General features: G+C 37.0%; 1 long non-coding RNA gene across 1 annotated transcript in view, besides 1 other annotated feature; it reads left to right on the top strand.

Annotated features, from left to right (window-relative positions):
- LOC105378178 (uncharacterized) overlaps nucleotides 1-12,235 on the top strand; it is an 894,025-nt gene that overhangs the window by 713,665 nt on the left and 168,125 nt on the right. The window lies entirely within an intron of this gene.
- Nucleotides 10,017-11,216: an enhancer, noted in NCBI's record as "P300/CBP strongly-dependent group 1 enhancer chr14:49032346-49033545 (GRCh37/hg19 assembly coordinates)". NCBI's record gives its function as "activates an origin of replication core promoter dependent on BRD2, BRD4, P300/CBP, MED14 and CDK7 cofactors, with strong dependence on P300/CBP, by STARR-seq in HCT116 cells {active_cell/tissue: HCT116}" and the evidence as "EXISTENCE:reporter gene assay evidence [ECO:0000049][PMID:35650434]".

Genomic DNA, 12,235 nt, shown 5'->3' with positions numbered 1-12,235 from the left:
GCCACTGCAAAAACATCCCAAATTGTAAAGACCATTGATGTTAGGAAGAAATTGCATCAACTAATGAGCAAAATACTCAGCTAACATCATAATGACAGGAACAAATTCACACATAACAACATTAACCCTAAATGTAAATAGGCTAAATGCCCCAATTAAAAGACACAGACTGGCAAATTGGATAAAGAGTCAAGACCCATCAGTGTGCTGTATTCAGGAGACCCATCTCATGTGCAGAGACACACATAGGCTCAAAATAAAGGGATGGAGGAAGATCTACCAAGCAAATGAAAAACAAAAAAGCAGGGGTTGCAATCCTAGTCTCTGATAAAACAGGCTTTAAACCAACAAAAATCAAAAGAGATAAAGGCCATTACATAATGGTAAAGGGATCAATTCAACAAGAAGCGCTAACTATCCTAAATATATATGCACCCAATACAGGAGCACCCAGATTCATAAAGCAAGTACTTAGAGACCTACAAAGAGACTTAGACTCCCGCACAATAATAATGGGAGACTTTAACACCCCATTGTCAACATTAGACAGATCAACGAGACAGAAAGTTAACAAGGATATCCAGGAATTGAACTCAGCTCTGCACCAAGCGGACCTAATAGACATCTACAGAACTCTCCACCCCAAATCAACAGAATATTCATTCTTCTCAGCACCACATTGCACTTATTCCAAAATTGACCACATAGTTGGAAGTAAAGCACTCCTCAGCAAATGTAAAAGAATAGAAATTATAACAAACTGTCTCTCAGACCACAGTGCAATCAAATTAGAAATCAGGATTAAGAAACTCACTCAAAACTGCTCAACTACATGGAAACTGAACAACCTGCTCCTGAATGACTACTGGATAAATAACGAAATGAAGACAGAAATAAAGATGTTCTTTGAAACCAATGAGAACAAAGACACAATGTACCAGAATCTATGGCACACAACTAAAGTAGTGTGTAGAGGGAAATTTATAGCACTAAATGCCCCCAAGAGAAAGTAGGAAAGATCTAAAATTGACACCATAACATCACAATTAAAAGAACTAGAGAAACAAGAGCAAACACATTCAAAAGCCAGCAGAAGGCAAGAAATAACTAAGGTCAGCGTAGAACTGAAGGACATAGAGACACAAAAATCCCTTCAAAAAAATCAACGAATCCAGGAGCTGGTTTTTTGAAAAGATCAACAAAATTGATACACCGCTAGCAAGACTAATAAAGAAGAAAAGAGAGAAGAATCAAATAGATGCAATAAAAAATGATAAAGGGGATATCACCACTGATCCCACAGAAATACAAACTACCATTAGAGAATACTATAAACACCTCTGCGCAAATAAACTAGAAAATCAAGAAGAAATGGATAAATTCCTGGACACATACACCCTCCCAAGACTGAACCAGGAAGATGTTGAATCCCTGAATAGACCAATAACAGGCTCTGAAATTGAGGCAATAATTAATAGCCTACCAACCAAAAAAAGTCCAGGATCAGATGGATTCACAGCCAAATTTTACCAGAGGTACAAGCAGGAGCTTGTATCTTTCCTTCTGAAACTATTCCAATCAATAGAAAAAGAGGGAATCCTCCCTAACTCATTTTATGAGGCCAGCATCATCCTGATACCAAAGCCTGGCAGAGACACAACAAAAAAAGAGAATTTTAGACCAATATCCCTGATGAACATCAATGCAAAAATCCTCGATAAAATACTGGCAAACCAAATCCACTAGCACATCAAAAAGCTTATCCAGCATGATCAAGTTGGCTTCATTCCTGGGATGCAAGGCTGGTTCAACATACGCAAATCAATAAATGTAATCCAGCATATAAACAGAACCAAAGACCAAAACCACATGATTATCTCAACAGACGCAGAAAAGGCCTTCAACAAAATTCAACAACCCTTCATGCTAAAAACTCTCAATAAATTAGGTATTGATGGGAGGTATCTCAAAATAATAAGAGCTATTTATGACAAACCCTCAGTCAATATCATACTGAATGGGCAAAAACTGGAAGCATTCCCTTTGAAAACCAGCACAACACAAGAATGCCCTCTCTCACCACTCTTACTCAACATAGTGTTGGAAGTTCTGGCCAGGGCAATCAGGCAGGAGAAAGAAATAAATGGTATTCAATCAGGAAAAGAGAAAGTCAAATTGTCCCTGTTTGCAGATGACCTGATTGTATATTGAGAAAACCCCATTGTCTCAGCCCAAAATCTCCTTAAGCTGATAGGAACTTCACCAAACTCTCAGGACGCAAAATCAATGTTCAAAAATCACAAGCACTCCTATACACCAATAACGGACAAACAGAGAGCCAAATCATGAGTGAACTCCCATTCACAATTGCTTCAAAGAGAATAAAATACCTAGGAATCCAACTTATAAGGGATGTGAAGGACCTCTTCAAGGAGAACTACAAACCACTGCTCAATAAAATAAAAGAGGACACAAACAAATGGAAGAACATTCTATGATCATGGATAGGAAGAATCCATATCCTTAAAATGGCCATACTGCCCAAGGTAATTCATAAATTCAATGCCATCCCCATCAAGCTACCAATGACTTTCTTCACAGAATTTTGAAAAAGTATTTTAAAGTTCATATGGAACCAAAAAAGAGCCCACATTGCCAAGACAATCCTAAGCCAAAAGAACAAAGCTGGAGGCATCACGCTACCTGACTTCAAACTATACTACAAGGCTACAGTAACCAAAACAGCATGGTACTGGTACCAAAGCAGAGATACTGACCAATGGAACAGAACAGAGCCCTCAGAAATAATATGACACATCTACAACCATCTGATCTTTGACAAATCTGACAAAAACAAGAAATGGGGAAAGATTCCTCATTTAATAAATGGTGCTGTGAAAACTGGCTAGCCATATGCAGAAAGCTGAAACTGGATCCCTTCCTCACACCTTATACGAAAATTAATTCAAAATGGATTGAACACTTAAATGTTAGACCTAAAACCATACAAACCCTAGAAGAAAACCTAGGCAATACCATTCAGGCCATAGGCGTGGGCAAGGACTTCATGTCTAAAACACCAAAAGCAATGGCAACAAAAGCCAAAATTGACAAATGGGATCTAATTAAACTAAAGAGCTTCTGCACAGCAAAAGAAACTACCATCAGAGTGAACAGGCAACCTATAGAATGGGAGAAAATTTTTACAATCTACCCATCTGACAAAGGGCTAATATCCAGAATCTACAAAGAACTTAAACAAATTTACAAGAAAAAATCAAACAACCCCATCAAAAAGTGGGTGAAGGACATGAACAGACACTTCTCAAAAGAAGACATTTATGCAACCAACAGACACATGAAAAAATGCTCATCATCACTGGCCATTAGAGTAATGCAAATCAAAATCACAATGAGATACCATCTCACACCAGTTAGAATGGCGATCATTAAAAATTCAGGAAACAACAGGTACTGGAGAGGATGTGGAGAAATAGGAACACTTTTACACTGTTGGTGGGAGTGTAAGTTAGTTCAACCATTGTGGAAGACAGTGTGGCGATTCCTCAGGGATCTAGAACTAGAAATACCATTTGACCCAGCCATCCCATTACTGGGTATATACCCAAAGGATTATAAATCATGCTGCTATAAAGACACATGCACACATATGTTTATTGCGGCACTACTCACAATAGCAAAGACTTAGAACCAATGCAAATTTCCATCAATGATAGACTGGATTAAGAAAATGTGGCACATATACTTACTTGGAATACTATGCAGCCATAAAAAAGGATGAGTTCATGTCCTTTGCAAGGACATGGATGAAGTTGGAAACCATCATTCTCAGCAAACTATCACAAGGACAGAAAACCAAATACCGCACGTTCTCACTCATCAGGAATTGAACAATGAGAACACTTGGACACACGGTGGGGAACATCACACACCGGGGCCTGTCATGGAGTCGGGGGAGGGTGACGAGATAGCATTAGGAGAAATACTTAACGTAAATGATACTTTAATGGGTGCAGCATATCATCATGGCCCGTGTATACGTATGTAACAAACCTGCATGTTGTGCACATGTACCCTAGAACTTAAAGTAAAATAAAAAAAAGAAAAACTTAGGAAAAACTTCTTAATTTTCATCTTTTCAATTGTAGTATCAGATATCCATTTGTTAGAGCCTTGTAAATTTTGATTTACTTCAAATGCTGCCTCAACTTGAATTGATTTAGCAAACTTTTTTCATTTCAGCATACCTTATTGCTTTGACTTTCCTAGCTGTTAAAGTGCATTTCAACTCCCACGCTTAGCAATCTGAAGTTGTCGCTCTTAATAGCTTGTCATATGCTTCAATCTATAGCAAACTAAAAGCTAACTAAATTTTATCTAATCTATTTGTCCAAGAATTTATCATCAAAATAAGGTGAAAAAGTTATCTTCCCATATCCTTCCAGGTTCTCTGTAGTCCCTTTTCTTTCATCATCTTCTGCCAAGTGTTCTTACCAATCACCCTGAGTTTTCACGTTATGATTCTTTCCTTTCTGCTACTTATTTATGACTGTGTTCTATTAGTTTCCCATACCATTCTGAAGGAAAGGAATGTTTCAAACTTATCTGTGTTTGTGGCTTAGCACAGTGCCTGGAACGTGCTAGATATTTAGTAAATACACACTTTTTTTTTCCAGAAATGTTGATGAGAACTCTTTATTTTTCCTTCTTTGTTTAGCAGGGTTATTTAGGAGAGGCTCCATGAAGGCAGGAATTTCATTTTTGTCTGTACTTTATGCCTTTTTAGGATAGTGCCTGGCATAAAGCAGGCATTAAATAGTCATTGGAAGAGATAAGGATTGATTAACTAATATAATGTTTGTATTTTCTAAAGCATTGGATATGAATTTAGAAAACTTGAATTTTTATGGTCATGCAATACAATGATTTCAATAAATGTTTTCTAAGGCAAAAGCTACTATGACATACAATTTACTTTCAAATAGTTTTCTGTTATTTAGAAAATTAAATGCAGTGTAAACTTTTTAATACTCACTACACATACCTTATATAGTGGAGGTTACTGCTGAGTAATTAAAATATACATGAATAAGTAACATTTCAAATCAAGATCAGATATCTGAGATCCTTAAGTGACTACATTTACTGATTATTTTGGCTATGGTCCAAATACAAAATATCATGGTTATTAAATGTACTTGTTGGCATTTAATCTGTTAATTATCATTTAAAGAGAAAGTCCTTGACATTTCAAGAGTTATTTCCAATCATTGCTGCTAGATTGTGCTACACTTCTTTTCCTTGCACAAAAAATTACATAAGGCTGTGATGGCATATATTGAATAAATATTATTATCTAAAGAGAAGAATTTCCTGTAACAGCCCACACTCATACAAAAATGGACCAAGAATGCCTATGGCATGAGAGTTACTCACAACTACTTTAGCAATGCACTCTCTTGGGGAATACAATCAGAATGACAACTGTGTCTGAGTGATTGATTAGCAAGAAGTTCTAGGCTTCTTAGTTCAATCTCTCATCTAGAAACCGGTGAAGCAGGAATGATTCCTTCCAGAAATCATACTCTGATATCTCAATTTTCCTCACGGAGTTATAGCCAATGCTAAATATGTTTTCAAGCACAGGCTTTAACAAAAGATTTCTCATGTAAAAGGAATTCATTTCTAACTTTAGAAATTCAACCTGTATCAATACTCTTAGGGAGATATCAATCAATTTCAAATATAAGAACTTGTTTGGAATCAGATTCAAATAAAAGTACTGTAAAAATAAGACAACTGGGGTATTTGAATACTGAATAGATTTTGATATTAAGGAATCATTGTTTCCTTTTTATAAGTACAATAGTGACATAATTACTGCTTTTAAGATAATCCATCTTTTCAGAGATCCAAACTGATACATTTACAAATGATGTAATATCTGGAATTTGCTACAGGTTGATCTAGTAAGAGGATGGAGAGAGTGGGTGAGGTATAAATAAAATAGAATTGGCATTAAGGCAATAATCACTAAAGCTGTGTGATGTGTTCATCATGTTTATTAGTATTCTTTCTTCTGCGTATGTTTTACTTTTCCATGACAGTAATTTTAAACAAAATAAAAATTATCTTACATAAAAAGAGAAGGATAAGTAAGGAAGTAAAAGTATGGGCTTCATGCTAAAGGTAAAGAGAAATAAAATCAGCCCACACAGAGCTTTGTCTCCTCAGCTCTGTCCCATATAGTCACAGAACTGCCATTTTGAGGCAAATATTTTTATATTTTTTTCTGTAATTTTGTCTGTCTCACTACATTTTCAGGTTATTGAAAGAAACCATTTTTTACAAAATACTTTTGTATCTCCTACAATATATAACAGCAACAACCAATTACTTAGTATTGAAAATGTGTGGTTTAATTTGCTAATAATTTTTTAAGTAAAGCAAAATGGAAATTTCTGTGTGCAGGAACCACAGGATGCAAATTACAGCTCAAGGCAATGTCAGTGGGGGAATACATTAAGCAGATAAAAGCTCAGGAAGGATTTTATTTTAGCAGACTATCCAAAACCAGAAAGAGATAAACAGAATGAAAATCTCAAAAAGACGAGTAGTTGTTAAAAGGGTGATCTACAAGCAGCGTAAGAGAAAATTAACTGGGGGTCACCTAGAAATATGAAAAAATACAATTGATCAAATGGTAAAAGAAGTTTATTTAGTGCCTAATGTGTGCCAGGAACATGAAGTATGTCTAAAACACAACATAAAATAAAATTCCTATCTTCATGAAATCTCCCTTAAATACATTAAATAATTATGGTTGCAAAATGTTTTTTAGAAGAAAAACATGTAAACATTTAAATTAAAACACGTCAGAGAATTACAGTTCCATTTAGTAAATTTACATTTTATTCTAATGCTGTTAAATGTAATTTTATTTATGTTGGTACAAATTATGTGATGTTTGCAAATTGCTACCTTACATGAAGAATCAATCTAAAATTTTAAAAAATACACTGTTGAATGAAGTAGCTAGACATTTTAAATACAAGTTTATCTCCATTTAAAATCTTAGCATAATAGATAAACTTTACAAGTAAAACCTATCGCTTTTTATATTTAGTATCATAAATACTTTTTTGGTGTGTGTTAATTTTGTATATTTTCTATTTTATTTTGAAGCTGACTTAGCTGAGGTTTAAAGCACTCATTTATTCTGTTGTAGATGCAGGTGATTACTCCCTTTACAAAATCCTTTTGGGGCCCTTGAGTCCCTATCCTTGAACCCGCTTCCACAGTGTGGAGTGTACTTTCATTTTCAATAAAACCCTTCATTCTTTCCTTGCTTTATGTGTGCATTTTGTCCAATTCGTAGTGCAGACACCAAGAGCCTGGACACCCTCCACCGGTGTCCTATTTTGGTGAGCCAGCCAGGAGGAAGAGGTAAGCCCGAAGTTTGGAATTTGTTTTTCTCTTTTCTCCTTTTCTTTTCTGCTCCATACAGGGGAATTTCTCTCTCTGTGTCTTTTAATTTCAAACTCAGGACTCTTGGTGGGTAGCGTGTAAACACGGAAGCAACTGCAGGTTTCTGGCCATGGCCGGGGAAACTAGGGTTTCCATGTGGATAAGCCAAACCACCACCACCCAGGTCGCTTGAGATACCTGTATCTTTCATTTTTTGTCCCTCTCTTTCTTTTTCAGTCTTTCAGTGACTGTTTCCTAGTAGCTCCTTGGAAATTGAGGGCAATTGGTTGGGGTCACTCCTTGGTACTGCCTAAAGGCCTAGGAATGAATGGGAATAATTGCCCTGCCCAGAAGTGGGAAGGACTCTGTTTTTTTATTTTTTTCTGTGTCTGGTCACTGATCCCTACATGTGGCACAGCTCAGCCAAACTCGCACATGTTTCAGGTGACTTAAACCTCCTTTTCTTAAGCTAAATTCTTTCCTTGTCATACTCAACTGGCTAAGGACAAAAAAGCCCACCCAGCATCCAGTTCCTCTCATTACGGTTCATGGCTATGCCTATGAAGCTCCTAGTAGGCTCTGGAGGGAAACCTGCATGTGGCACTGGTACCCACCTAATGTCAGAGACGTCTGACACTCTTAAGTTTGGACCCCAAAGGAGGATGCTCTGGGGGATCCTGAGGACCTTAGCTTCCCCAAAGGAGACCCTCTCGGTAGAGGTTCTGAGGTCTAGTAATAAGCCTTCCTTAGAATTTTCTTTTACAGTTGCAAGGCTGCTTGGCCCCCACATTCTTTAGAATCTGGAGTTTACTGTCTAGTGGGAAAGTGAAATGGTGTTGCATGTATGCAAGCTTTTGTGCTGCTGTCCTAAGCAGGGGGCCTGGTTAATGTGTGACGTCCTCCTTTGGTATTGTTGGGCCCCAGTGCTCTTTGGAGACTGGGGAGGTTTGGCCTTTAAAAATCAAACTGCCATGGAGAATGTTGTGGCCAAAATTTTGGTTCACAGCTTTCCTTGGGTTATCTATTGGGACAAGGTAAAACTGGCAAGCTTGGCATTGCTATTCCATGGCTAAGGTTCCAAGCTATTGGATCTTCATTTATGCATGTGTATACCTGTCTAGATGTGTTTATTTGCATGTGCCCTTATTGTTATATGTTGTGTCTACCGAACTGTCTTATAAGTAAAAGAGCACTCATAAGTAAAATAAGTCTAAGCAATTTTCAAATTCACATGACTTAAAGTATAACTTTACTAAACAAGCTAGCTTTAAAACTATTGGTGGCATAAAAATAGAAATGCCTCCAGAATTTTGTCTGAATTTTATGTTTGTATTTGCTAGATATTTTTAAATGTCAGTGGTAATTCAAGCTGGGAGCTGCTTGGGGCAAGCCTGCCTCACTTTCTATTCAAAGTCTCACTGAGATAAATGCATATCTGATTGCTTCCTTTGGAAAGGCTAATCAGAAACTCTAAAGAATGCTACGCTTGTCTCCCACCTACCTGTGATTTGAAAGCCCCCAAGCCCCCTCCCCGCCTCCAGTTGTCCTGTCTTTCTGGACTGAACCAATGTTGATTTTACATATATTGATTGATGTCTCATGTCTTCCTCGTTAAAAGTAAAAATTAAGTACAGAGAATGGGATAAATGTTTCAGGTAAAATTTTTGCATAAATTAAAATCTTAAAAAGTTATTTTTGATGCTCATTTAATATCTGGGACATTTCCAATTAAGAAGGGATTGTGGTATGGGGAAACATGTTTCTAAAATTGTAGAATTGTTCTTATCTATAAATTTCCATATTTGATAGTTCAGGATTTCTTGCTTTTTAGGGTTTTGCTAATGTTTAAGGTTATTAAGATAAAAATTCTAGTTAACACATAATTCTGTATACAAAATGTGACAGAAAAGGTTATGTTATTAGTGAAAAAGAATAATTTTGTCTAATTCAGAAGTTATCTAAAAGTTATTTCAAGTTATAGATTTGAAAAGGTTATTTATGAAACAGTGTAGTAAAGAACCATTAAATAGGGGAGAAAGATGTGGAAAAAGTTTAAATAATAAAATATTCTTTAAAACCTGATAGAGAGTTGGAGACATTTGGCTAATTAACATTTTCATAGTTAAAGCTCTTAGTCTTGATTAAAGTAAGAAGTTTTGTCAAGAAATGCATCTGCAGTTTGGCAATTCTTTTTTTAAAATAGTTAAGCATGAAGCTGGATTTCGTGTAGAGCCAAATTTCACACACGTGCTTGCATTGCTTCACACTATGTCTACCATTTTGCATGGATAGTGCTAGAGTAACTATTGGTCATGTGCTTAAAGTGAATTTCTTGATTGCACAGGAGGTATAATAATATTGGTGAACTTAAGGATATTGAATTCTATATCAATAATGAAATATTCATTATGCAGGTTTTCTGGGAACCTACGTAACACTGTAGCCTCCAAGGTAAATTAAGTAGGAAAACTTAGAGTTGGTTTCTGGTTTATTTATTTTTGATTCTAGTTTTCATTTGTTTGCTGTTTACTCTCCATTTATCTTGAATTCCTTGGCTGCCTTTGTCTGGTCTGCAAGAATTGATAGAGCACACCAGCCTTTTAACCTAACTTTGGATTTTAGGCTTCCTGAATGTTCAAGCATGTTGAGTATACTTTTGTAAATAGAATTTGAGTTATATTTCTGTTTCTGCCCAATTTCTTCATAATTCATATACTACTTGTGAATATTCTTAATTCATGGCAGGGGTTTGTTTGCATACAGTATAGCAGGGTTGCTAGGGCCACTCAGGGAGAGAGAACCCAGAAACCTGGCATGCTGGCAAAAGGCAAGGATTTCTTACCAGTCAGTATCTTGCCTCTTTCTCTCTGTGCAAACTGGTTAAATATGTCAGAAATAAATTTTTGGTGCCACAAAAGAAATAGCACTCAAACATATATTCAATTTTCTCAGCAAGGCAATTTTACTTCTATAGAAGGGTCTGACTTGCAGATGGAACAATGGAGAGAGCACAGCTAAACAAGGGAGGGAAAGGGGTTTTTATTCCTGAGGGAGGTAGCCCCTAGTGCTGTGTCATTCCCCTGTTGGCTAGGGTTGGACTGCACAGTCTAAGCTAATTCCGATTCACTATTTTAAAGAGAGCAGGGGTATGAGTCAGAGTGGCGGGATGAATAGTTTGGTAGGAAAGACGGTTACTGAACAGGTGACTCAGGATGACTCAGGATGGAGCAGGTGACCAGGGGTGACTCAGGATGGAGCAGGTGGTAGAGACTAGGAGGGAGTTGTTTACTGAAACTAGGGGCAAGGAGACAAAAGAATGAGGATCTTAAACTTTAAAGTGAAGAACAAAGAACAGGGAAGCTGAGCATACTGATACACTGGTTCTTTGGAGAGGATCTCAGAACTCATTGTACTTAACAATTTACAGGCTAAAACCTTTAAAGAGGAATTTATTATATCCTACAATTTCCCTTTCAATTTTCATAGCACTTCCTCTTCAAACTTTTTAAATATGTCTTAGCTTTGCTGCTCTACTTAATCCTCTCAAAGAAAAAGCTTATCTGAATAAGGTGGAGGAGAGTTAAGGAAGGTTTTAGTAAGTGCTGCTTTTATAAGTCTTTGCACTTGTCCACGGATGCATGGTATGACACAACACCTAACAAGAATAAGTACACCTATTATTCCTGCAAGAGAAGTAAGAATTGAGTTTATGAATTCTTTCCGTTTACTGAACTACCTTTCTAGCCACCCTGAGAAAGGGTTATCGACTCCAGAATTTTAGCTAGTTCATTGGATAAAGCAATAAGTCTTTGTAAGGCCCTTGTTATGCTCCCAGTGGGGTCAGTATTGTTTGGGATAAAGGTACAACACTGAGTTTCAATCATAACACAAACAGTGCCTTTTGTGGCTAATATCATATCTAGGGCCGTTCTGTTTTCCCAGGCCATCTGGCTAGTGGGCCCCAATTGTTCTGCTATCCGTTTGACAGCATCCCTTGTGTAATTAATAAACCACTGCTGATTATAATAGACATAATTTATCCAATCTATATTATTAATTTAAATATTGACTTAAATCCCGCAGCTATTTGATCTTGGGCTTTAAATTTATCTGGTATTCCTCACGGAACTCCAATAGCATTTATATCAACATGGGGGTCAAAGGACTCATGTAAGGCACTTCTTCTTTTATGATTTTATTTTTTATCCTGTTGATGGAATGCTAGATTTGGTAAATCTCCACAGGGCATCACAAGGCAAGCATCAAAAGTAATAGTTTGGGGTGAAATTGTCCTAGTTACATTAATAACGAGAGGACTAGCAATAGAAGGGGAAAAGAAAGAGATGCAATATAAGAGGATCAAACCCCTTTTAGCATTAGCTTGGGTGGAGTTGGCCCTAGAATAGCTGTCCATGATTCTGGAGGGGGTGGTGCTCTTTTGACCCAGGTGAGATGAGTCCATCCTCTTTCTGCTGTTTGAACTGCTGTCTCGGTGGTTAGAAGCACTAGGTAGGGTCCTTCCCAAGCCAATCCGAGGTTTCCTTCCCTCCAACTTTTGAGGAGGACATGGTCCTCAGGCTGATGTTGGTGTACTGGAAACACTGTGGGGGTACCTGTGCCAAAAGGCCTTTAGTGCTGAGGGAAGAGAAAGTGGAATATAAACCAAGTATATAATTTCTGAGAAACTGATCTTTTGTTTTGAACGTGGGAATGTCTCCAGTGGAGTGCAAGCAGGGCAATCTATACA

Source organism: Homo sapiens, chromosome 14 (genome assembly GCF_000001405.40).
Source record: "Homo sapiens chromosome 14, GRCh38.p14 Primary Assembly".
Lineage (NCBI taxonomy): Eukaryota > Metazoa > Chordata > Mammalia > Primates > Hominidae > Homo > Homo sapiens.
The sequence above is the reverse complement of the archived record's forward strand: the minus strand, read 5'-3'. Positions and strand labels throughout refer to the sequence as shown.